General features: G+C 42.4%; 2 protein-coding genes across 4 annotated transcripts in view, besides 1 other annotated feature; both read left to right on the plus strand.

Moving 5' to 3' along the window:
• The window catches only part of PEX7 (peroxisomal biogenesis factor 7), a 91,343-nt gene extending 79,522 nt beyond the window's left edge, over nt 1-11,821 (plus strand). For all 3 annotated transcript variants that reach the window (NM_000288.4, XM_006715502.3, NM_001410945.1), the window contains one exon: nt 11,345-11,821. In NM_000288.4, coding sequence (NP_000279.1) covers nt 11,345-11,413 — 69 coding nt within the window. In that variant the 3' untranslated portion in view covers nt 11,414-11,821. The remainder of the gene's footprint in view (nt 1-11,344) is intronic.
• Nucleotides 19,210-19,716: an enhancer, noted in NCBI's record as "H3K4me1 hESC enhancer chr6:137242461-137242967 (GRCh37/hg19 assembly coordinates)". NCBI's record gives its function as "activates a minimal SCP1, AML or CMV promoter by ChIP-STARR-seq in primed H9 embryonic stem cells {active_cell/tissue: H9 hESC(primed)}" and the evidence as "EXISTENCE:reporter gene assay evidence [ECO:0000049][PMID:30033119]".
• SLC35D3 (solute carrier family 35 member D3) lies at nt 20,188-23,547 on the plus strand. Its single transcript, NM_001008783.3, has 2 exons — nt 20,188-20,754; nt 21,772-23,547. Exons 1-2 carry the CDS (start codon nt 20,316-20,318, stop codon nt 22,581-22,583), a joined length of 1,251 nt encoding a protein of 416 aa, NP_001008783.1. The 5' UTR covers nt 20,188-20,315; the 3' UTR covers nt 22,584-23,547.
• Nucleotides 23,548-26,003: the final 2,456 nt, after the last annotated feature.

Below are 26,003 nucleotides of genomic sequence, written 5' to 3' on the forward strand. Positions count from 1 at the left end.
TTTAGTCTCATAATGTGTCAGATTTACAGATTGTAAGTTAATTTAATTTTACTCTTTGATCATTTTTTATTCCCTTAGAAAGTATCTTTCTCTCACCTCTTAGTGTCTTTCCATCTGCTTTCATATACCTATTGTCTTTTGTGATCTTAGCAGCTGTAGGACCTTGCTGATGTTACTTTAAGGCTCTGTGTTTTTATATATTCTCAGTCTTAAAAGAGATTTATCTGAGTTCTTCTGTGTATAATTCTTTTTCTTTTTAGCTTCTCCTTTCTTAGAGATCTGAGAAATGAGGTCAAGGGCATTCATATATTACACCACCTTTCTTCTTAACAGAATGTAAGATCTTGTCTTTAAAAGTTTAAAACTTGACAAATAAATGTCTGGGGTCATTCTTTAAGGATAATTGCTGAGAAATGCTCTATGCCCTCTCTTGTTAACCAGGCTGAAGGCATCGTTTTCTTTGAAAATTTTTTTTTTCTGATCATGATTTGTACAGTTCTGACATTTTATCTTTTCTTTCTTATCCTTCTTATTTCTAAATTAGATACTCTTTTTCTTTTTGTAGACTTGTGATTCTAGACCTATAATACACCTATTTATATAACTGGAATTTCTATATTAGTTTAGAATTCCTGACTTTGTGTTCTGCAGTATCAATTCTGCTCTTCCAAATGCTCAGTGATGTTTAGTTTAGTATTTATAAGCTGGATACAAGTTTACATATCTTTATACATTCTTTTGGGGGCATAGTTATTTATTATTTTAATCTCTTTTAAAGTAAACGCTACCACTTTCAGATGTCGCTGCTGTATGTTTAATAAGCTTTAATGTTTTCCTCATGACAAAATTTTGGAAATTACATTTAGAAGAAAGAAAAAAGATTACCTCTAGTTTCCCCACTTGAGAAAGAATCTCTTATACCATATTATTATGTTTCTTTTAAAAATCTCTGTTTTACCATATTATTATGTTTCTTAGATTTAATTGAAATGTAAATTTATATTTTAAAATGCACATATTTTTAAGTGTACAGCTCAATTAGTTATCCAGAAGTGACTACCCCTGTATAACCACTATCCACGTTGAGATACAGAACATCGCTTGCATTCCAGAAGCCTCTTCCCAAATCTGAACCCCTCCTTCCCAGTGGTAGCCACCCATCCAGTCTCTGTCTGTGTGTGTATTTTTCAAAGTTTGGGTAAACAATCTTTTCTTTCTTTCTCTTTTTTTTTTTTTTTTTTTCATAGAGACAGGATCTTGCTATGTTGCCCAGGTTGGTCTAGAACTCCTGAGCTCAAGCAGTCCTCCTGCCTCGGCCTCCCAAAGTGCTGGCATTATAGGCATGAGCTACCATGCCCCACCTAAGATAATCTTTAGTGAATGAATATCTGAATCTGTCCATGCTAGGAACATGTAGCTCCTATATAATGAGCTTTCTTTAAAATATTAATAGAGTAGAAGTAGTTTTGTATATTTTTGTTTTGTTTCAGTAAAAGATGATTAGATTTGGTTCTGATTTAAACTAGTTCTTTAGATATATTTTTATTTTTAATTATTATTATTATTTGAGACAGGGTCACTGTGTCACACAGGCTGGAATGCAGTGGTACGTCATGGCTCATTGTAGCTTCAACTTCCTGGGTGCAAACGATCCTCCCATCTCAAGCCTCCACTCCCACCCTACCCTACTGAATAGCTGGGACTACAGGTGTGCACTTTTTTTTTTTTTTTAATTTTTTGTAGAAATGAGGTCTCACTGTGTTGCCCAGGCTGGTCTGGATCTCCTGGGCTCAAGTGATCCTCCCACCTCAGCCTCCCAAAGTACCGGGATTACAGGTGTGAGCCACTGTGCCTGGTTAGATATCATTTAAAAATTCAGCTCTTGTTTTGGTTCAAACCTCTATTGCCATAATCTTCGATACCAGGTTTAATGGTTGACAGTAGATAAAAGTATTTAAGAATTCTTTAATGAGTTTAGAAAATTGGATTTTAGAAGATGGCAAGCATTATTGGTAGTTAGGATATTTGTGTCCTGTTCACCTTTTATGTCAGGTGATATTTTCTGCATCTGTCACAGACTAGCTTTAGAGTTAAAAAGAACAAGTGCCAGAAGCAGTCGGTGTCCTCAGGCATTAGTCTCTGCTGTTTCCTCATTGATGCTTTCATAATTGTGTAATTTTTTAGCTTACAATGATATAACAAGTCCTTGTTGTTTTCGCCAAGCCATAAAACATTTCCCAGTTCCAGCTCTGTAGGATATCAGTGTGCTCCTTAGATGGATGGTATTAGGCTGTGTCTGCTGCCCTCTGCACTACATAGACACCCTGATATAGTTTGGCTGTGTCCCCGCCCAAATCTCACCTTGAATTGTAACTCCCACAATTCCCATGTGTCATGGGAGGAACCCGGTGGGAGGTGATTGAATTATGGGGGCAGGTCTTTCCTGCACTGTTCTCATGATAGTGAATGAGTCTCATGAGATCTGATGGTTCTATAAGGGGGAGTTTCCCTGCACAAGCTTTTTTTTTTTTTTTTTTACTGCTGCCATCCATGTAAGATGTGACATGCTCCTCCTTGTCTTCTGCCATGATCGTGAGGCCTCCCCAGCCATGTGGAACTGTAAGTCCATTAAACCTCTTTTTCTTCCCATTCTCAGATATGTCTTTATCAGCAGCGTGAAAATGGACTAATACATACCCCTTGCAATTATGGCATCCCTTCACTGTTGACATCTGCCTCTGATCTTTCATTCCTGAATCACTCACTTTCCTATTCAATTTCCTTTCTCTTGATTATGAAGCATTGCTTCTGAAAACCCACCAAACATACTGACTAGGCACACTTCAGATTACTTTTTAAAAAACTTCATTTGGGCTCTTGGTCCTACTCAACTTACCTTTGAAGTCTTTCTGATTTTACCTTTGAAGTCTTTTTTATTTTTTTAGTCCATTCTCCACTGTATCTTTCCTCATCCTTTTTCAGTGTCAGTATCTGGACGTTTGACCTTATGTTCTACTTACTGTTAGAAGAGAGTTCCCAGGAATGAGCATCTTTTTCCGTCTCTGTCACCCCAAAAGGTTTGCATTTTATCTCTATTTTTTTCCCATTCTTCCAGTGGGTTTCTAATTTTCTTGCTGGTTTCCTCATCCACATCTTTGCTTCTTCACTTATCCACTGTTTTTAGATCTTCAATCGGTTCTTCTGTTTTCAAAGCTCTATGGGGCTTACCCCACTGTCCTGTCACACTATCAGTAAGTTCTGTTTCTCTTCTATTATTAAATATCTAGAATTAGTAAATTGACCTCTTGCTTTTAGTTTCTCAGAATCTACACTCTCTTTTAAACCTGTCTTCCTTTCATCATTCAATTGAAGTTAAGCCCAAAAAGGTCACCAGTAAACTCCTGAAACCCGAATTAGCCTTTTTTCAGACTTTTTTCTTATTTAGCCATATAATTTTGATATTTGAAAAAAATCTTCCTGTCCTATTTTTTCAATGCTACCATGCTGACCTCTTCTTCCTTACCTCTTTGCTACATATCTTCATCACCATCCCTCCAAAAGTAGATGTTCTCCAATATTCAATCTTAGCCCTCTTACTTTGGTGCAACTTCCCCTTAAAGCTGTTGTATAATTCTATGCTAGTGATACTTGCCCTATGTATCCAGCAGACTTTACTGTGAGATCTGAGTAGATGTCATGCTTTTCCTTCAGTATTCCTAACCTGGTCAGTTGATTGCATTTCGGGGCCATACTAGAGATCTGGGAAGTAATCCTAGTTTTCCTGTCTCTTCGCATTTCCTAAATTCAACTTGGTATTGAGTTAATGAGTTATTTCTCACCAATATCTCTGAAATCCAGACAATGCCTTTCTACCTCCACTGCCTTAGATAAGCACTTATTTGTACCTTTACCGTGGATTACTGCAACAATCTCAAACCTGGTCTCTAAGCTCTTTCCATCATCCCATTGATTCTCCATGTTGCCTCCAGGGAGAGGTTTCCATAATGCAAATCTGGTTTTGTTAGTGCTTGACCTGAAATACGTTAAAGGTAGGAGCAAGGTGAGAACTGCCACCATCACCACTGTAAATGAACATGGTTCTAAAAATTGTGTGGCCAGTTAGAAATAGGAGAAAACAAAATAGAATATAAAATTTTAAAGGTAGAACATTTTATTGTCATTTGTAATTCATGATTGTCAAATTGAATAAGTATTAAATATATCAACTTTAAACCTATTAAAAATAATAAGAGAGTCCAATGAGAAAGTCAGTTAAAATAAATGTATAACATTGAATAACCTATAGATATAACAATTATCAGTTAGAAAATAAAATGGGAAAAATTACTTTTACAAGGCAGCAACTGTGTATGTGTGTGTGTGCATGTGTGTGTGTGTGTATGGGTGTAGTATTCCCAAAGAAAAAAATTAAAAATATACAGGACTCCAGATTAAGAAGATTATGTTACTTTGCTAAGAGACCTTTGAAAAAAGACTGGAATAAATGGACAGACATATCATGTGCCTGCAACAGAATACATTTTTCCTATTGCTGTCCCTTTTTTAAGGCATTTGTCATCCAATGCAGATGCTACTATATTTGCCTCCTAACCTATCTTTCTCTTTTTGAAATTCCTGGACAATCACTCCTGTGATGCTTTTAAACCACTCTGACCATTAACCTCTTGCCATACTATTAAGTACTAGTTTTAATTTGCAAATCAATCCAGTTAAATTGTCGTTTTTATCATTGTCATCTTTGCTCAGAAACCTTCAAGAGGAAGCCCATTAATTCCCTTCAGTGTAGAGTCTGAACTTTTAATCTTGCTTTCAGGATTCAGTGTAATCCGTTTTCCTTTTTAATTTTAGTTCTCACCATCCTATGTAATCCTCTATTGCAGAACAATTACATTTTGTTATTTGTCATATCCATGTTTTTACCCGTTTCTCTTGCTCTCCTCCGCCTCTGCCTATGGAAATTATTTCTGCCTTTTTGACTCCAGAATTAAGTTCTTCTCTTCCTTCTCTCCTCCTCTTCTTTCCTTCTCTGCTTCAGTAAATATTTTGTGTCAACTAAATATCTTGAGTGCTCGGAAATACACAGTGGATTAATGTCAACCACCTGATACATATGTGCTAAATAGCTATTCAATGAATTAATGAAAAGGATTTTTTTAGTTTATTGGTCAGCTCTTTCCTTGCTTTTGCATAAATTCCATAATGATTATCATAATAAACCATATTCTCTCCTGTAGTCACTTTCTATTGTAAGCTGGTTGAGTAAGTAAAGCATGTTTCTTCCTTGAGTCCCAAATTTAATATACTGCAGTATAATGTCTTGGCTGCTTTTTCAAAATGTAGAGTTAACTGTGATTTTTTTTTTCATTCTGTCTGTATCTTTCTGCCTGTTTCTATTATTCATTTTTGCTAAAGAGGCCATGTGTCATAAAGATAATTACAGTAGATTGAACAAGTTTCCCAAGGGCAAAAGCAATTGTCCACGAAATAGAGAAAAAAAGGGTATAATGATAAATAGGAAATGGAAAACTTCTTAATAAAGTAAAGCTCCTAATGAGTCAGTTGGAATTCCTGATTATTATTAACAATCACATTAAATCATTTGAGATAAGTTACCTTATCAGTTGCATGTGTAAATATTTTAATAAAGTGGAGGGAATTGATGCAATTAAGGGATATAAATTCATTTTCTAAATTTTACACGTATTTAAAGTGTTGTATTTCCATTTTAATGTTTCCTTCTCTAAAATCCACATTTATGGGACCATTATTATTGAAGATGTTCTATAATACATATGATTTGATCCACTATTGGTAAATTTTTATTATAGTCTTCTTAGTGAATGCATGTTTCTTTACTATCTTTGGATTTATGTAGCATTTAGTCCAGTATTTTGCATATAGGAAATGCTGAAATACTGGTTTAATAGAGTTGCTCTCTGGCATTCCATGTATGAAGATGTCTTAATGTATATGCCATACATACCTCTGTTTAGAAATTAATAGGCTTTATTGACATAAATTTCTGTTCAGTTTTTCAAGCTTTATTATATGTTTTGAAGAAACTGACACATTAGTTCAAAGCAAGTAATTTGTATTTCTGATTAGTGTGCTTATTCTTATAACAGAAATACCTATTTTGCTGTATTAAAGTGAAAATGAAATAATTAAAAATAGAACTTATATGGCATCTTACCCTATTAGTTTAGTTTTTTTTACTACCCTAGTAGATAGCATCTTTTAAAATAATAAGATTGGTTCTCTCTTCAAATTTTACATTAAGAAATATAACATTTTGACAAACCATTTTTTTTTCTGTAATGTCAGTAATTTTAATTCTGACTTTGATGAAAAGATTAGCATGTTGGTCTTAGCTTAAAGGAAATTCAGAAGGGCATAGGGATGAAATGTACCACAGCAGGGGCTTGTGAGTAAAGGAATACATTTTCCACTTGTGTATCCTTGGGCGGAAGCAGTAGAGCCTGGAGGCCCCTGCCCTTGAGTGTCCACATGCACACTCATACTGTAAGGGAAGAGAGTCAAACAAGAGATACCCCAGCCTTCAAAAAACCCTAGTTGGGATTCAGAAAAAAACTGCCTCTCGAAAGATTGAGTTTCGTCAGAGGAGTTATAATGCAATTATAACTTTTAAATTGCCTTAAAACTAAAACTTTCAGTTCTTCACTTACTCGGATGTATCCCACTGCCTAGAACATTTTCCTTTTTTCCACTGTGCCCCTGACCCAAAAACAGCAACAAATGCTGTCTAGCGGGTTCCTCCTTTAAGCCTCAGCTTAGATACTACTTCCACCTGAAAGCAGGCACTTCCCTCACATTCGATTATAATGGCCCCTTGCCTACTTTTATGGGACCCCATAATTCCTCTATCATTTTACATATTACGCTACAGTATAGGTGTCTCTTTGCTTACCTGTCTCTCCATTACAATCAAGATCTGTGGAGCCAGAGACCAGGACCCTTGTGTTTATTGTCGTAACCTGTACATACTTCTGACACAGAGGAGGTTCTTAATAAGTCTTTGTTGAATAAATGGATGAATAGGTGTATACATAAATTATCTTTTAGATAGCTTTGTAATTCTGAGGAATATTTGACAAACAGTTCTTAGGACACAAAGGCAAGCTCCCTGTGAAACTTCTCTAAATATTCCTGAAATTAAAAACAAACAAACAAAATATATATCCTTCAAATCCCATAAAACTTGTTGCTTTTACCCACATCTCTGACCTCACACCTAATTGGATGCTTTTTATTATGTGAGGGGCTCTCTCTACTCAACAAAATCTTGCAGTGCTACCAGAAGCCATTGCAGTGGCAGTGATAATTAATAAGAGGTCCCCTGGGGACCACATGGCACAATAGTTTTTCCTTACCAGGAAGTTCCTACATAGCAACCTTGGAGAATCTAGAGCCTCTTTGTTAGTTAGTAAAGTGCTTTTTTCTTACCTTATTATTATTTTCTTTATTGTTAGCTTGCTTAAATTTGTAGAACCAGATAGGGCTTAATTAACAAATAGAGGAATACTATTTTCATCAATTTGAATTAATCTATTCATAATTCTATATCATTGCAGTTTTAGATCTATCTTAATCCAATTAAGTATAGATTTATGAACATTTGCTGAATCAGTGGCCTTGACATTTGGTAGTTATTATAAGTCCTGAATAAATAAGAAGCTGGATTGGAGAGTGCCGAATAAGGTTTCAGAAACATAATTTATAGATACCTTGCACTAGAAACCTAAGTCTTATTTCTCTGATTCTCTTCTCTCCAGTAGCGGATGCTTAACATGTGGGAAGGCCCAGCACTTGAAAAAAATAGGCATAGATGAGACAGGGGTAATTTAACATAATGATCTTTGTGTCCTATGGTATAAAAACTGAAAACTGCAAGATTAGGCAAATAATGGTTTTCAGTTTGCCTTTTCTATGAGGCACTGTTTTAGTGGATACATTCAACAGGTTTAGGTTCTGGCTGTAGCTCTGCTACTCTATTGTGAACATGAGGACAGAGTTAACCTCTGAAATTGTAATCTATGAAATTAATTTGTTGAGCCAATATTCATTGAGTTATGTTCTAATAAGACATGGTCCATGCCCTCAAAGAGCTGAAGACAACTCTTTGTCTTCAGTTGGGAAAATAAGTACAATCAAGTATTATGGGTACAATGAATGACTTCATAGAGGAGATGATACCTAAACTGATTTTTTAAAAAAGAGACATCTCTGGCAGAGCAAGGCAAAGGGGACAGAGGAGCAGACAGAAAGGGAGGGAGAAGAGGAGTTATTAAAGGGAAGCGATCAGTAAAGGAACAAGAGCGAAGAGGCATAAGCAGCATGCTTGGATTTGAGGTGTGAGCCCGGTGCAATGAGAAATGAAATGGGAACAACCAGATCTTGAAGAGTGAGGTTTTTAAATTTAAAAGTTTGACTAAAAAGTCTATAATGCTCTCTGTAGCTTGGATTCTGATCTCAGAATATTGGTAGTGAATGATTGGCTATCACTATTCAAAATTAGTGATAGCCAAGAAATTACATTAGTCAAAACGAGGTTTCTCTTGTGTAATTTTCAGCCTTTGTAATAAGCATGAAAGGCTGGGAAATGGAGTGCAAATACTTTTGGTCAAAAGCACTCTCTTGCTACTTCATCTTTCATTTTACTGCCTACCTTGTTTCTTTTCTTCTTTTTTTTAAATTGTGGAAAATTTTGAAAACATACAAAGTAACAGAATCAGATAACGAACTTCATTACTTAGCTTGAACAACTATCAACATTCTTATTTTATTTATTCCTGTACTCTCACACATCGTTTAGTTATCGCTAACATTATTTTTACTATTTTTAGGTATAATTCACATATATTGAAATTTACAAATCTTAGATATACATTTTTGACAAATAGATACGTCTGTGAAATTCACATCATCCCAGTTATTGGAAACTGGGAAAGCCCCCAGTTTCCTTTTTACCCCTTTCCAATCTCCCCTATCCCCACCCTTCCCTCCAGGTGAGAAGAGTAACATTGTTCTGACTTTTTGTTTGTTTGTTTGTTTACCTTAGATGAGTTTTGCCTGTCTTAGAATTCTATAAGGAACTCTTCTGTATGTCCTCACTTGTTTCTGGCCTCTTACCTGTGAGCTTCACCCGTGGTACTGAGCCTGTTAGCAATTCCTCCCTTTGTTTTGCTGAGCACATGCTGTTGTATGAATTTACTACAATTTGTTACCGATTCTTTTGTTAGTGGGTATTTTGGTTGTTTTCCTTTTTTTTTAGACAGAGTCTCACTCTGTTGCCTAGGCTGGAGTGCAGTGGCATGATCTCGGCTCACTGCAACCTCTGCCTCCCAGGTTGAAGCGATTCTCCCACCTCAGCCTCCCTAGTAGCTGGGATTACAGGTGCACACCACCACACCTGGCTCATTTTATGTATTTTAGGTAGAGGTGGGGTTTCACCATGGTGCCCAGGCTGGTCTCAAACTCCTGACCTGAGGTGATCCATCTGCCTCAGCCTCCTAAAATGCTGGGATTACAGGTATGAACCACTTTGCCCAGCCTTGTTTTCGATTTTTTGCTATCGTGAATGAAGTTGCTATGAACATTCGTGTCTACATTGTTTTGCAAACATATGTTTTCATTTTTCTTGGACAAATATCTGGGAGTGGAATTACTGGGTCAAAAGATAGGTATGTGTTTAACTTGGTAAGAAACGGCCAAATTGTTTTCCAAAATGGTGGTACCATATACCTTCCCTACCAGCAATGTATGTGATCACAGCTGTTCCACATCCCTGCTGACATTTGGTGTTGTCAATCTTTAATTTTAGCCATAATGTGAATATATGGTGGTATCTCATTGTCATTTTTATTTGCATTTCCCTAATCCCTAATGATGTTGAGCACTTTTTTATGTGCTTACTTTTGCCCATCATTTTTCATTAGATTGCCTTTTATTATTGAGTTGTATTGGTTCTTTATGTATTCTTGATACAAGTTGTCAGGTGTATATTTTATGAATATTTTATATAACTGTGTCTTGCCTGTTCATTTTCTTAACAGTGTCTTTTGATGAGCAAAAGTTTTATTTTTGATTGAGTGTAACTTACCAAATTTTTGATTATTACTTTTTGTATCCCTAAGAAATCTTTACTTACCTCTGTATTGAGAATATATTTTCCTTTTTTTTTTTCTGAAAGTGTTATACAGTTTGCTTTTATATTTAGGTCTGTGGTGCATCTCAAATTCATTTTTATGTGCAAAGTTGGGGTCAGGATTCACTTTTTTCCCTATGGATATTCAGTTGTTCTGCCACCATTTATTGAAAAGACTATTTTTTCCTTTTGCTCTTTAATTGTTTTGGTACCTTTGTTGAAAGCCATTTGTCCAAGTGTGGGGCCTATTTCTGAACTCTGTTCTCTTCCTTTGATCTACTTGTCTTTATCCTAATCCTGCACAGTCTTGATTACAGTAGTTTCGTGCTGAGTCTGGAAGTCAGCTAGTGTTAAGTAGTGCAGCTTTGTTTCATTTCAAGATTCTTTTGGCTAAGTCCTGGCATTTCCACATAAATTTTAAAAATTGCCTCATCCATTTCTATTAAAAAACGAGTATATAGAAACACAGTGGTTTTCATATATTAATTTTATACCCGGAGACATTGCTATATTCACTAAGTTTTTAATGCATAGTTCCTGAACACCCTGGACTTTCTTCCCTTCATGTTTTCCTATGGCTCTGTAGATGTGAATGTCCTTGTCTTTTATGTCTGCCTCCTACAGAGGTCCAGTGGGAATGCCATGGCATTGTGAAGTTGTCTGACACTGTCCCAGCTGGAATCATATAGTCCCCCTAAGAGTCTCTGTTAGTGCACCTTCCACACTCAGTCTTGAATGAGCCATTTTTTGAAGGCAAGAGCTTTACTTTATCTTCCTCTCCAGTCCCACAATATTGAGCACAGCATCTTGTTCACAGTCTGGAACGTATCTTTTCGACATTTATATCAGATAGTAGGGAATTATGTAGCTGTTGGGTGAAGTGAAGGTGGGGGACATTCTTATAGGAAACCTCAGTCAATTGAAATATACCAATTGGAATATACTCAATCAATGGGAATCAGTTGGAATACCCTGAGGTATATCCTAAAAAGGGAATATGGACCTTTTATCAAAAACGTAGCCCTATGTTTTCCCTATTCAAAAATATGTTTACTAGTGGATGATTTACGACACTCTAAATGACTTGAGTTTTTGCTGTCAATTTTGAATTTTTGTATGTCTAAATACGTTTCTTCTTACTTCATTTTTGTTTTCTAGGTGGCTGACTGTTCTTGGGATGAAACAATAAAGATCTATGACCCTGCTTGTCTTACTATTCCTGCTTGAGATACACTACTTTGGTCAGAAACAGAGGATGTTGGCTGAAGAACTGCCTAACAGCAAATAAATTAACTATGGAAAACATAGACATTATGCTTTTATATGCTATTCAGATTTCAAATCTTTCCAATTTACCCTGGAATCAGTTTTGAGGGAGCTGATAAAGACTTTAGCTGACTCGTTAAGCCTGATACATAAGCCATATTTAAAATTCTAAGAAATAATTAATGTTATGATATATCTTGTAGTATCTATTAAAATGTCTCTGGGTCATAAAATGGATTAAAATATGGGAGATCAGTAGGTTATACTTATATAGATAGTGATATATTTCATTTTTAATTTGTCATTTTTGATGTAAAATATAATCACTGCTGTGATAAATAAACTATCTATTGATCATTTATCATTTTATAACTTCCCCCAAAAGACTGCTCTTTCTAATACATTGTATATGTGAATATAGTACTATATATAATATAGATATATCTGTGGTTCAGTAACAGGACACTAGAATATATTTAATTTATTCTTTTATTTAGTAGCTGTTTATTGAGCATCTACTCAGTGCTTGACACATAGACTCAATGAGATTCTGTCAAGGACTGGTGCCATGTTTTTAAGAACATGGAATGCTGTGAGCTAAGAGCTTACTTTTTTTTTTTTCTTAGAATTTATTCACACATTTTTAGATATTGTACCCATGACTCTATAATTTTGTCTTCCCACTTCTCTAATATCAAAATTTTTTTAAACTGTCAATTAAACAAAAAGTTTTAGGTCCTACTAAGGCTTCTAGCTTTTGCCCTTGAAACCAGGCCTAAGTACAGCTATACGTGCTCCTTGCCACCTCCCTAAGTTTTCTTGAAAAAGCTCTAGGTGCAGATGAACTGAAAAAAACAAAAAAAGTTGGTTAAAGAGGAAAAATCAGCAAAACAAACTACTTTGCATAACACTTATATTTTCTACATAATATTAAGATATGCTATAAATAGCAAAGATTATAATTCTTAAGTTCTTTTTAAAGAACAAAATACGCTCATAATAATCAGAGCAAAAATAAACTAAAATATATGTATATTGTCTTCTTTATAGATTTCCTTGTTTACTTGTTGCAGAAAAAATTTAAGACAGCTTAAGATATAAAAACAAAACAACAGCATAAATTAAGAAGTGGAACCAAAGACAGAAAGTGGAGGCAAGAGTGGGGCTTGAGTATACATACCTCAAAGTCCTGTAAAGTTACTACTGACTGGGCCAAAGATTTGCCGCTAAGGTTTCTAGCTTCATAAATAGGAAATCTGAACAGTTACACAGTTCAGTGCCTATGGCCTAGAGGGCAGACTCTGTCCTTGTGCCAGGCTTGGCCCTACCACCCTGCCTGGCACAGGCAACAGAAGGGGCTCAGCATGGGGCCTCACTATGTTGCCCAAAACTGGTCTTGAACTCCTAGGCTGAAGCCCTCCTTCCACCTCAGGCTCCCAATTACCTGGGACTATGGGTACATGCCACAGTGCCCACTTTTTTTTGGTTCTTAAATCAGCAATACAGATTGCTTTTGAGAGGACCCATAAAGAGGACACTGCTTAACCTAAGTATACTGCAGGGAACATGGTGCTTAACCACATCCTTAGAGTTGTCACACTGATGAGTTTGACAGCCTTTTTTCTTGCTGCTTGCCTCTATATGAACTAATGGCATTACACCAAGGTGTGGTCAGTAAAAGTGGGTCTACAATGGGTGTTCTCTGTATCAGCAGAATTTGTGATAGGCCCTAAAAGTATCCAACCCAAAGTAGTCAGGCATGGTGACGTGTGCCTGTAGTCCCAGATACTCAGGAGGCTAAGGCAGGAGGATTGCTTGATCCTGGGAAGTTGAGGCTGCAGTGACCCAGACTAAGGCATTCCAGCCTAGGTGACAGACCTTGTCTCAGAAAATATCTAACCCAGATAATATTTACAATGAAATGAAATTATTTCCTTTCCTTCTAGAATGCAAGAGATTTTTATTAACAAAACGTTCTATCACGTATCTTTCGAAACAAAGACTTGTAATTTAAAAACTAACCTCTCCCTTGATTTATTCTTTTCCCTCTATTCCAGGGATGTTAGAGATATTCAGATCATTGGCTTCATAATATATAACTCAGGTTCTTGGAGTCTATCAATATGAGAGTGGGTGAATGCTTATCCAGTTGGTTCCCTGGAACTAGAATTGGAAAACTCTGAGGAGCAGACCTGGATTCTCTCCTGAAAGACAATGTGCAAGATTTTTGAATCCTTGGTAGCTCACAAGCTAAGCAGCATTTGGACTTCAGAGGATGACCAGTCATTCTTTCCGGGTTGGGAAATCAGCATTTGTCTCCTGGCTGCTGAGCTCTTAGCTTTCATCTTGTCTGCCTCCCCACAAGCTCCTCCTACACCTGCAGGGAACTCAGTTACTGATTGTGGTCAGGGCACCGTGTAAGATGCTTTATATATGTTATCACTTTTAATCTCTATAACATCCCTGCAAGGTAGCCCTCCTTATTTTCAGGACAAGGAAGCCAACGTTCTCAGGAGTCATAATAGCGAAAAAATAATGAAACGAATTTGAAATCTGGAATGATTGAATCCAAACCCATGGTCCTGCCACATAGCCTCCTTTTCTTAGGAATAACAGAAATTAGCACACTGAGAAATAGTTAAGATGTAGAACTCTCTGGCTGTACCTGATTATTCCTGAGAGAACTGACAGAATTGAGTTTCCAAGTCTCAAGAGCTAAGCTGAACCTTAGTCTGGAGTGACCCTACCAAGGTCCATCACACCCAGGGAGATCCAGGCTGAGAGTCAGCTATCCTTTCTGCCTTTGGCACTTCTTAACTGTGTATCTTAGCAATAATTTGGCTCTTCCAAAAATGAACTCGAATTTTTTACTTAACAGGCTTTTCCTTGTATATGCTGATCCACTTAATTGTTTTTTACTTTCATGTTAATAATATTCTCAAATCTGTACACCTACCTTCCCCACCTGGGTTTCCCACAAGCCTTTGCATTCATTTTGTTCCAACCAAACTCACTTGCCTACTAACCCAGCTTTTACTCCTACACATGCCTTTTCATTTGTTGTCAAAAGTCAAGCTGTTAACAAAAGATCCATTTGGGTCAAGCTAAAGACCTAAACACCATCCTTGGTCCTTCCCTTATTCCCACTTCTCCACACACATCAAATGAGATCCTTTTTACCCCCTCATCACTGCTCCCTTATATCTCTTCCCCTCAATCCAACCACCATTGCCCCAGTTCAAGCCATCATTAGCTTTTCTCTGGACAATTGCAGCAGCTTCCTAAATGGTGTGTCTGTTTCCAGTTCTGTGTCCTCAGAGCCATCCTCCTCAACACAGCTGCCGGAGACGGATCTCAAATGCAATCTGATTACATCAATTTCAGTATAAAACCTTTCTCTGCTTATAGGATTACCTATGGGGAAAAATTCAAGCTTACTAACCAAGCAGCCAGGGTCCTCTGGGGATAGCCCTTGCCTCTGTCTGCAGCACCGCTTCTCTTCACACAAAACCAGTGTGCTCACAAATTCTTCATGTAAGTGATGCAAGTTTTCAGCTGGTCCATGTGCCTGGACTGCCCTGCTCTTGGCTTGGTAAGTTCTTACCCATAATTTAAAAGTCACATTAGGCTGGGCGTGGTGGCTCAAGCCTATAATCCCAGCGCTTTAGGAGGCCAAGGTGGGTGGATCACCTGAGGCCAGCCTGGCCAACATGGTGAAACCCCGTCACTACTAAAACTACAAAATATTAGCCAGGCATGGTGGCGAGTGCTTGTAATTCCAGCTACTTGGGAGGCTGAGGCAGGAGAATTGCTTTAACCCAGGAGGCGGAGGCTGCAGTGAGCTGAGATTGCACCATTGCACTCCATCCTGGGTAACAAGAGGGAAACTCCATCTCAAGAAATAATAATAATAAATAAAAATAAATAAAAATCCCATTAAATAACTAAAGAATAAGATTGACAACATACAAAAATTAAAATTGCAAAACACATCACTAGCAAAGCTAAAAGAGGACATAACAAAAGGATATACTGGCAACTTATATAGAATGGGTGGTTAATAGCCAAACTTTACAAAGGGCTCTTAAAAATCACTAAGAAGGCTGCGCATGGTGGCTCACGCCTGTGATCCCAGCACTTTGGGAGGCCGAGGCAGGTGGATCACCTGAATTTAGGACTCCGAGACCAGCCTGGCCAACATGGTGAAACCCCGTCTCTACTAAAAATATAAAAAATTAGCTGAAGGTGGTGGTGCACGCCTGTAGTCCCAGCTACTCAGGAGGCCTAGACAGGAGAATCGCTTGAACTCTGGAGGCAGAGGTTGCAGTGAGCTGAGATCGAGACATTGCACTCCAGCCTGGGCAACAAGAGCGAAATTCCGTCTCAAAAAAAAAAAAAAAATCACTAAGAAGACAACCAGACAAAAATTGGACAAGGATATCAATAAATAATTCACAGAAGTGGAGAGACAAATGTTTACTACATTTCAAAAAGTTTCAGTCAGACTGTCTCAATGATAAATGCAAATTAAAAATGAGATCCCTTTTTATTTTTGCTTGTCAGTTTGGCAAACATTAAAAATATTGATAATATCTAGTATTGGTTAAAGTGAGAATACTGTTATATGCTTTGTTAGAAGGCAATTTGGTAACAAATCAAGATTTTATTTTATTTTATTTTATGTTATTATTTTTGAGATGGAGTCTCACTCTTTTACCCAGGCTGGAGTGCAGCCGCATGATCTCGGCTCACAGCAACCTCCACCTCCCGGTTTCAGTGATTCTGCTGCCTCAGCCTCCAGAGCAGTTGAGATTACAGGCACGTGCCACCATACCTGGCTAATTTTTGTATTTTTAGTAGAGACAGGGTTTCACCATGTTGATCAGGCTGGTCTTGAACTCCTGACCTCAAGTGATCTACCTGGCTTGGCCTCCTAAAGTGCTGGGATTACAGGCATGAGCCACCGTACCCGGCCAAAATTTTAAATTACCCTTTGACCCAGCAATTCCACTTCTAGGATTCCCTCTCTCCCCCTTTCCCAAAATACCTGTAGAAGTATGGCTATGTCCAAGGGTATTCATTACATCGTTTGCTAAAACCCAAATGCCTGTCAACAGAAAGGTTATACTGTAGAACAGTTATTGAAAAGAATAAGTCATTTGAAAAAATATGCTATTTCTATGTAAAAAATCACTCCAAAACTTAGTAGTTTTAAACAACACACATTTATCATCTCACAGTTTCTATGGTCAGGAATCCAGAAACAACTGAGTTGTTTGAGCTCAGGTTTTCTCATGACATCACAGCTATTCACATGGTTATCAGGCCTCAATTACTCAACCACATGGGATTTTCCATAGGCAGAATGTCCCTACAATGTGGCATTCGGCTTCCCCAGACTCAATGATACAAGAGAAAAAAGGACATACAAGATGGAAGTCTCAGTATAACCTAAAGTCAGGAGTGACCGTCATCACTTCTGCCAGGTTCTGTTAGCTACACAGACCAACCCTGGTACAGCGTGGGAGGAGTTAACATAAGGGTGTGAATACCAGGAAGCGGGTATCACTGGAGACTATCTAGAAGGCTAATTACCATAATACGCTTTTTAAAGTAGGAAATTATAGACAAATATATATGATATCCTAGTTTTGTTATTTTTTTAAAGGAGGAGTTTGCGTGTGTATAAACATACATACAAAAAAGACTGAAAGTTTCCACACTGAACACAGCAAGCTCTGTGTAGTAAGGTTGGGGATGGTGAACACTGAAGAGAGCGCGTTTACTTAATTATAAATTTGTTTTTCTTTTATGTACCACAATGAGCCTGTGTTACTTTTATAATTAGAAATAATGAAGTAAGTTTTCAAAGACACTGTAATTCCTTCTCCAGGAAGCTTTGTCTGCTACTGCTGTCAAGCTGATGTACTTGCCCTCCTGGCGCTCCCCCCTTTTCTGCCACACAATCCCACTGTTGCTAAGGATGAAGGCGCTGTGTTCATCTTTAAGTCCTCTGTGGCTAACAGAATACTTAGCACAAAATACTTGTACTATATGTTTGTTGAATGAATGGATAAACTAAAGGATTTATTTAATGTCATTAATATTTATTAAGTAGCTCCAAAGGTGATGTGCTTGAGTCTAGACCCTTGGTACCCTGATACCAATAGGTCAAATAGCTATTTAACCTTTAGATCTACATTTTTATTCATCTAGATCATTTAACCTCGCTAAACATGGTATTCTTAATTTTTCACAATTTTTAAAAGGAGCTCATCTAGTATCTGGTTTTGTGGGAGATGGGGGTTAAGGTTTTTTTCTTTCCAAAAGAATTGCATGCAACAAAGTGGAGAAAATGTGCGGTTTTATGCCTCTGTAGGTTTCAAATATTAAGCTAAATTGTCTTGCATAAATGAGAAGAGTAAGATAGCTGAATCAGCCCCAAATCTTTTACCTAATGTTAGTATCACAAATGGATGCAATTATAATTGCGGGCAGAAATGAATCATTCCAAAAGTAGGTTTGTGCAGCCACTTCTTTATATTAATAATATGCACTTAGGATGGCTTAAAGCAGCCATGCTTTTATTGGGATAGTCTCTAGAAGCAGAAATCTGTTATTTGCTGATATCTGTAAAAAGTTAATTTTCAGAGTTTTGAATCAATATATTTTGACTATACCACACACATACACATAATTTGAACTGGTGCTTCAGACTTCATTATTTCCTAAATAACATTAACTCTACAAAAACAGAGTCACTTAAACAGCCAATAGTGTGTAACCACAAGTTTTAGCAACAAAAACCAAGGGCTCCCCAGAGAACCGGAAGCACGTGTTTCAGTATAATGCTTTCCAGCTATTCCTGGAAAGTTGGCACCCTGGGCCATTCACAAACTTTTTTTGAGTGCCCACCTGTCGGGAGCAGGGACGTGGCCCTCCTAGGCACCGGGCACATAAGCTGGTGGACTGGTTGACCCCGAGCTCTCTAGAGCTCACCAAAGTGAGCATCCAGAGCCCCAAATGCTGGCCCAAATGAAGGGCTGCTGTGATGCTGCTGATCCCTGCTGTAATTTTTTTTTCTTCCTCTGTTGCGGTAAATCACGACTTCAGCACTTTGGCTGAAGTGTCGCGTTCAGCACAGAGGTGGAAGTAAGAGGCAGAAAACAGAAGAACCACGAGAGAAATGGATCCTGTCTATTAAGGCAACGTGATGCAGCGCTAAAAGGTTAGGAGGTTACGATTCCCGGGGCTAAGAGAAATAAACTGCTGGTGGTGAACGAAAGGGGTGCTGGAGCGCAGCGATCTCGAACCTTTCCCTTATAGCCAAACCCTGGCCAAGGCCACAAATTTCAAATCGCCTGAAAACCAAACTGTCTGGCGCTTAACGGTTACCTCGGCTGAGCGAAACCCTTGGCTGCTGCTGATTTAACTACAGGTCCGCGCGAGTTACTTTCCAGGGAACTGAATTCAGAACAAAGAGTTACCGAAGCCTTACTCCCTCTCCAAAATTAGAATTCCCTTTTTCTCTTAGTCATATAGGAAACACACAGTTCACAAGTCCTGTGGTGCAAAGGTGTGAACCCTGGCCCAGGGAGGTGGTGACTCTCCCCGCCCTCCGCCTGCCGGTTGTCCTGCTTCCGAAAGCAACCCACGACGGTCCCGCAGGGTGAGGGTTCCCTGGGATCAGTTCCCTGGGATCCGGAGAACGCCACGCGGAGTCTCCCTGCAGGGTGAGGGGCCCCGGGTTCCCGCCCCCTCCCCCTCTACTCTCCCATTCTGCGAGCGCAGCCAGCCTCCCCTCCCACGCTTCGGGAAGCGTCGCCCCCGAGCTCCTCGGTTCCTGGTGGTGGCTACTCGTGTTAGTGACTTCGTTTCTGCGCGTTTGCTTATTTTCATCTTTGCCTCAGTTCGAATGTGTCCCCGCCACCAGGCCCCGCTGCTGGGCGAGACCACTGAACCCCCTGAAAGCTTCCCCGGAGCCGCGCGCATAATCCCGGGACCCTCTCTGGAAGGCGTGCGGAGAGCGGTGCGCGTGGCCTGGCACCGGAAGGAGCCAGCTTCCGGGCTCCGAGGCACCCCCTGGACAGCGCCCCGGGCCGCGGGTTCCTCCTCCGATGCCCGGGCGTCGTCGCCGGGATCGGGAGCTTCGGGGGCCCGCCGGCACCGACGGTTTTCGCTTCCCTGGCGGGCAGCTGGACGAGGTCCCGCCGCTGCACCGGGAGGGACAGTGGGTGGAAAAAGCCGCTGCAGCGCCGGGGCGAGGGGGCTGGGGGCGCCGTCACTTGTTGCGACCAATAAACGGCGCTCGATCCTGATGCGCTGTTTCTAAAATCTTTAGCTGTGTCCCGATCCCTCCAACCCAAGCCCCTCGGCCAGGAGGAAGGGGCAAGCGAGAGCCGCTGGCTCTGTGGGGGGAGAGGGGCGCCGCGCCCCAAGAGCCCCCGTCCCGCCCTGCGGCAGCCGCCCCGGGGCGCCCAGCCGCCCGCTTCCCTCCGCAGAGCGTCTTCCCTGACGGTGAAACCGCGCGGGACACAACCCACCGCGGCTCATCACCCACTTACAAATAGCTGTCGCTAGGATTCCCGCCACTCCTCTCAGACCGGCCCCCCCGCCACCTCTGCCACTTTTCGGAGTCCCCCGCCCTCGTCACTGCCTCCCCGGAGCTGCGGGGCAGTCGGACGCAGAGCTGCCTAACCGCAAGAACGCCTGGCCGGAGCTGCCCTCTGCAGCCGAGCCGGCGCCCCCTGCCCTTCGCCGCCGCGCTGGGCGGGCGCCCCCGCCGCCCTCACTCCGCTGCTCCCGGCTCCTCGCGCGCAGGTCGCGGAGCTCCGCCACCGCTGGGTGCGGCGAGGCCGGCGCGATGCGGCAGCTGTGCCGGGGCCGCGTGCTGGGCATCTCGGTGGCCATCGCGCACGGGGTCTTCTCGGGCTCCCTCAACATCTTGCTCAAGTTCCTCATCAGCCGCTACCAGTTCTCCTTCCTGACCCTGGTGCAGTGCCTGACCAGCTCCACCGCGGCGCTGAGCCTGGAGCTGCTGCGGCGCCTCGGGCTCATCGCCGTGCCCCCCTTCGGTCTGAGCCTGGCGCGCTCCTTCGCGGGGGTCGCGGTGCTCTCCACGCTGCAGTCCAGCCTCACGCTCTGGTCCCTGCGCGGCCTCAGCCTGCCCATGTACGTGGTCTTCAAGCGCTGCCTGCCCCTGGTCACCATGCTCATCGGCGTCCTGGTGCTCAAGAACGGCGCGCCCTCGCCAGGGGTGCTGGCGGCGGTGCTCATCACCACCTGCGGCGCCGCCCTGGCAGGTGAGCGGGCCCCCGCGCCGACCCCCAGCCGACCCCACCCACCCCGCTCCGTCGGGCAGAGACCGCGGGGATCACTGAGTTCAACGACCTCACTTCCAGATGGGGAGACTGAGGCAGAGAGAGCCGGAGAGCTTTGAGAGTGGTCGCTCAGCTCGCAAAAGGGACTTCCGAGACCCAGAGAGCTCCCCAGCGCCCCACCAAGTCCCCCTGCCCCCTAATGTCCTGGCTTCCGACCCTCGCCCATGCTTCACCCGGCATCGCCCTTCCTGTCGCCCCCTCTCCTGGTCTTCCCCTGTCACCCCATTCTCCGGGAGAGGTGGGAGGGCCGCCTGAGCCTGGGAGCTGGAGTCCTCCAAGCCTGGACCAAGCCGGAAGGAGGGGGCCGTGAACTTCCTTGGGTCACGAGGGGCTGGAATGGAGGTGGGGGATGGGGGCGAAGCTGAGGGTTCCCGGGGCTACTGCGGGGTGTCTCGTGCTGCGCAGGGGGCTGCGGCCCTGGGGCAGACGACCCAGGTGCTGAGCGAGACGAGAGCCTGGGCAGGGGGAAGCTTCACTGGGGGCCAGAACAGGCGTTCTCCCCCGCGCCTGGCCCGCTCCGGGTTGCAGGCCACTGGCTGGGGCTCCCTCTCCCTTTGGTGCCCCACGGGGCAGGGGCTCCGGGGTGCAGGTACCACGCGCCCAAGTGACCTCGGTGCCAGCTCGGGGAAGCCACAGCACCTGCCCCGAGGGCATCTGCGCTCTCCGGGGCCTTTGTCTTGGACAGAGGAAGATGGAGTGACCCGGGGATATGGCGGGAAGGCGCTCTGAGCACTGAGTTTGGCTGTCGCATTTGACACGGGTGGCCGAGGGACGGCGGGCGTCTGTCACTCAGGAATCCGGTGGGCAGAGCTGGGGCGCGAACCCAGTCTCCTTTCCTACCCGACGCGTTTTCCCCGTGGGTCCCCGCCCACGCCAACCTGCTGTCTTCTCTCTTTTTCCTTCCCGCCCGGGCTCGGCCGTCCTCCTCGTGCGCCGCAGGAGCCGGCGACCTGACGGGCGACCCCATCGGGTACGTCACGGGAGTGCTGGCGGTGCTGGTGCACGCTGCCTACCTGGTGCTCATCCAGAAGGCCAGCGCAGACACCGAGCACGGGCCGCTCACCGCGCAGTACGTCATCGCCGTCTCTGCCACCCCGCTGCTGGTCATCTGCTCCTTCGCCAGCACCGACTCCATCCACGCCTGGACCTTCCCGGGCTGGAAGGACCCGGCCATGGTCTGCATCTTCGTGGCCTGCATCCTGATCGGCTGCGCCATGAACTTCACCACGCTGCACTGCACCTACATCAATTCGGCCGTGACCACCAGCTTCGTGGGTGTGGTGAAGAGCATCGCCACCATCACGGTGGGCATGGTGGCCTTCAGCGACGTGGAGCCCACCTCTCTGTTCATTGCCGGCGTGGTGGTGAACACCCTGGGCTCTATCATTTACTGTGTGGCCAAGTTCATGGAGACCAGAAAGCAAAGCAACTACGAGGACCTGGAGGCCCAGCCTCGGGGAGAGGAGGCGCAGCTAAGTGGAGACCAGCTGCCGTTCGTGATGGAGGAGCTGCCCGGGGAGGGAGGAAATGGCCGGTCAGAAGGTGGGGAGGCAGCAGGTGGCCCCGCTCAGGAGAGCAGGCAAGAGGTCAGGGGCAGCCCCCGAGGAGTCCCGCTGGTGGCTGGGAGCTCTGAAGAAGGGAGCAGGAGGTCGTTAAAAGATGCTTACCTCGAGGTATGGAGGTTGGTTAGGGGAACCAGGTATATGAAGAAGGATTATTTGATAGAAAACGAGGAGTTACCCAGTCCTTGAGAAGGAGGTGCATGTACGTACCTATGTGCATACACTTATTTTATATGTTAGAAATGACGTGTTTTAATGAGAGGCCTCCCCGTTTTATTCTTTGAGGAGTGGGGAAGGGAAGAAAAGAAAGAAGCTGAAAGGTACTGACACAGAGCAACAAAATTAGCACCTGTGTGAATTATTTAGTGTGACTTCACCTGAGGCATCACAGAGACAAAAGAATGTGAAGCTACTTAACAAAGTAAGGCAACGTTTCTGCTTCAGACTCCTGGCACATTTACTTTTTGTCATTATAACCATAACTAAATATCTGCATGTACCAAGAGTCCCTAAGCCACCCCCTCCAAAGATGGAGTGTAGAAATGATGACAGCACTTAGTAAGTTCAAAGATGACATTCAGGGATGCATTTTTTGATGATAGAACTACAGTTTTTATCGCCAGCTGGGCAAAGAGTATATTGCTGAAATGATATATAAATATATTGAATTGATGTTTACTGTTTATAGTCATCTGAAATATCATATTTACTCTGATTCTACTCACTTGTTTTTTAAAAATAAGTGTCCTATTATTGTATTATATATTGATAGAAACTGTTAAAGCTATTTTGAAAATATGAGTTCTTAGCTTTAATCATGAAGTCTGAAGTTTGCTTTCAGTAATTATTTTAAAAGTTGTTTTGGTTCATTGCTTTATAATATTTATTATTGAATGCCAAACCTGTTCTTTTTTTTACTGTGTCCAATATTCTTTCAAGCAAATGCAATGGCTGGAATATAATTCAGAATTAACTGAAACCCAGCCAGAAGAGGGACCACCTGTAAAGCAAGTCCTTTCAAGTTTCACTGCACATCCCAAACCATGTTACAAAAAGAGCAACTGCTATATTCACATTATGATATTTTTCTATCTTAAATTTGTCAAAATAAAGTATGAGTCTAACTATTAAAGGATACATTGTTAGAAATTTATTTTAGACACATGTTCTATTGTTGCTGTATAGTTGTTTGTGTTTGCCTCCAATGTGTGGTCATAGTATCCGAGTGTAGGGGCCGCACCATTGGAAACTTCCTAAATTAACAAAGCTGTTTGGTTTGAAATAACAACAAAAACAGAAATGCATCTTCCAGTGAAGGAAGCTGTTAATGGTGTGGTGCAATGGCTCATGCCTGTAACCCAGCACTTTGGGAGGCCAAGGCAAGCAAATGACTTGAGCTCAGGAGTTCAAGCAAGCCTGAGCAACGTAGCAAAACCCCATCTCTGCAAAAAATACCAAAAATTAGCCAAGAATTTTGGTGTGCACCTGTAGTCCCAGCTACTCAGGAGGCTGTGGTAGGATGATCACCTGAGCCGGGGAAGTCAAGGCTGCAGTGAGTTCTGATTGTGTCACTACACTACAGCCTGGGCAACAGAGCGAGACCCCGTCTCAAAAACAAACAAACAGGGCATGGTGGCACGCGCCTGTAGTCCCAGCTACTCGGGAGGCTGAGGCAGGAGAATCACTTGAACCTGGGAGGTGGAGGTTGCAGTGAGCCGAGATCGCGCCATTGCTCTACAGCCTGGTAACAGGACAAACAAATAAACAGAAAATGATAAAACACTCCATCGCACTGAGGTACGAAAGCCATCCACACCAGATTTCAGTTAACATGGAGTCTGAGAAGTAATAAATGGTCATGTCCACCAAGGAGGAAGCCTTCTGTGAGCTCTAGGCAGGAGAGATACTTTGAGAGTGAGGGGGCACTGAGATCTGCCAGCATGTTGCTGAGATTCTCAGATAGTAGCATCTTATATTTTTCTTTCTTTTCTAAAAATCAAATCAAAGCAAAAAGCAGAAGCAAAAATGAAGTTTCAGCTCCATCAGTTTGGCTCCACAAGCAGCTGAGCAAGTGTAATTGTGGTTTGTGATTGGCCCTGGTTTGCTGGTTTCCACAGGCAATTGACTATTTCCAGAGGTGCCTCCACAAGCCATTTAAGATGCAGGAGACCTCACATACTGCAGTTAGAAATGGTTTGCCAGGGTTATGATGACTTCTTCAAAAATAAGTGTTAATTTTAATGCTAACATGCCAAAGGGCAACATCGCGTTGCAACTATATAAAGCTGAGAATTAATGAAAAGCAGCAAAGTTGGATGAAGTATATATTTCTTGTGGCTATCACTGCCAGATAAGTGGAATGATTGTTTTTTACTGAAAAAAAAAATGTCCTTTGGTTAAAAATGTGAGTTTACCTTTATAGCAAAAGGATTAACTCTTTCCTGTCAATGAACTTGTAGAGACGCTGTATTTGACTTCTCTAGAGAAACAGAACCCATAAGAGAGTGAGATTTTAAGTAAGTGGTAATGATGGGGCAGTCTGAAGTCTGTAGGCCATGCTGGCAGGTGGGAGACTCAGGCAGGGTTTCCATGTTGCAGTCTTGAGGCAGAATTGATGTTGCTACTTCTGGAAACTTTGCTCTTTGGTCTGTAGGCCTTCAACTAATTGGATGACGCATCTTACAAATGTCTTTGCAGCAACATCTAAACTACTATTTGACCAAACAGCTGGGTACCACAGCCTAGCCAAGTTGACACATAAAAGTAATCCTTCTTCCACTGTCAGTAGTACTGGAGGCAATCCAAGACTCTGGTCCACCCTGACCAGAGTCAGGGCTCTGGTAGGGCCTTGCATCAAGCAGGCAGGGGCCTTCTGAGGAGCTCCAGGATATTCGCATGGGTGGGACTCCACTGGAAGTCACTCACCATTGTTGCTAGACTGATCCAGTCTTTGTCAGTCTACCCCATTCTGACAACTTGGATTCTCCCTTGTTTCTGAGATTACACCCCCACCTAGTGCCCAACTGGGCCCCTGCTTCGACAGCCTGTTCCTATATCAATTCTTCATGGCTGAGGCCCAGCCTCATGCTCACCTGTCACTTCCCAACTAGAATCTGTCTCTAAAACACAGCATGATGTCAGACAGACATTCTCAACGCTGGGCCTGTTGCTGGCCCCCTCCCACTAAATGCTGTCTAGCCTTATTTTATTTTACTGAGACAAGGTTTTGCTCTGTCACCCAGGCTGGAGTTCAGTGGTGCAATCATAGTTCACTGCAGCTTCAAACTCCTAGGCTCAAGTGATCCTCCCACCTCAGCCTCCCGAGTAGCTGGGACTATAGCTGCATGCCATCATGCCTGGGCAATTAAAAAAAATTTTTTTTAAAGAGATGAAGGTCTCACTATGTTACCCAGGCTGATCTCGTACTCCTGGTCTCAAGCAATCCTCTCACCTCAGCCTCCTAAAGCATTAGAATTACAGGCATGAACCACTGTGCCTGGGCCTAGCTTTCGATTATTGAGGAATAGATCAATCAGAAACACTGGGGAAAGGCCGGGCACAGTGGCTGACACTTGTAATCCCAGCACTTTAGGAGGCTGAGGCGGGCAG

Source organism: Homo sapiens, chromosome 6, assembly GCF_000001405.40.
Source record: "Homo sapiens chromosome 6, GRCh38.p14 Primary Assembly".
In the NCBI taxonomy this organism is placed as follows: Eukaryota; Metazoa; Chordata; class Mammalia; order Primates; family Hominidae; genus Homo; species Homo sapiens.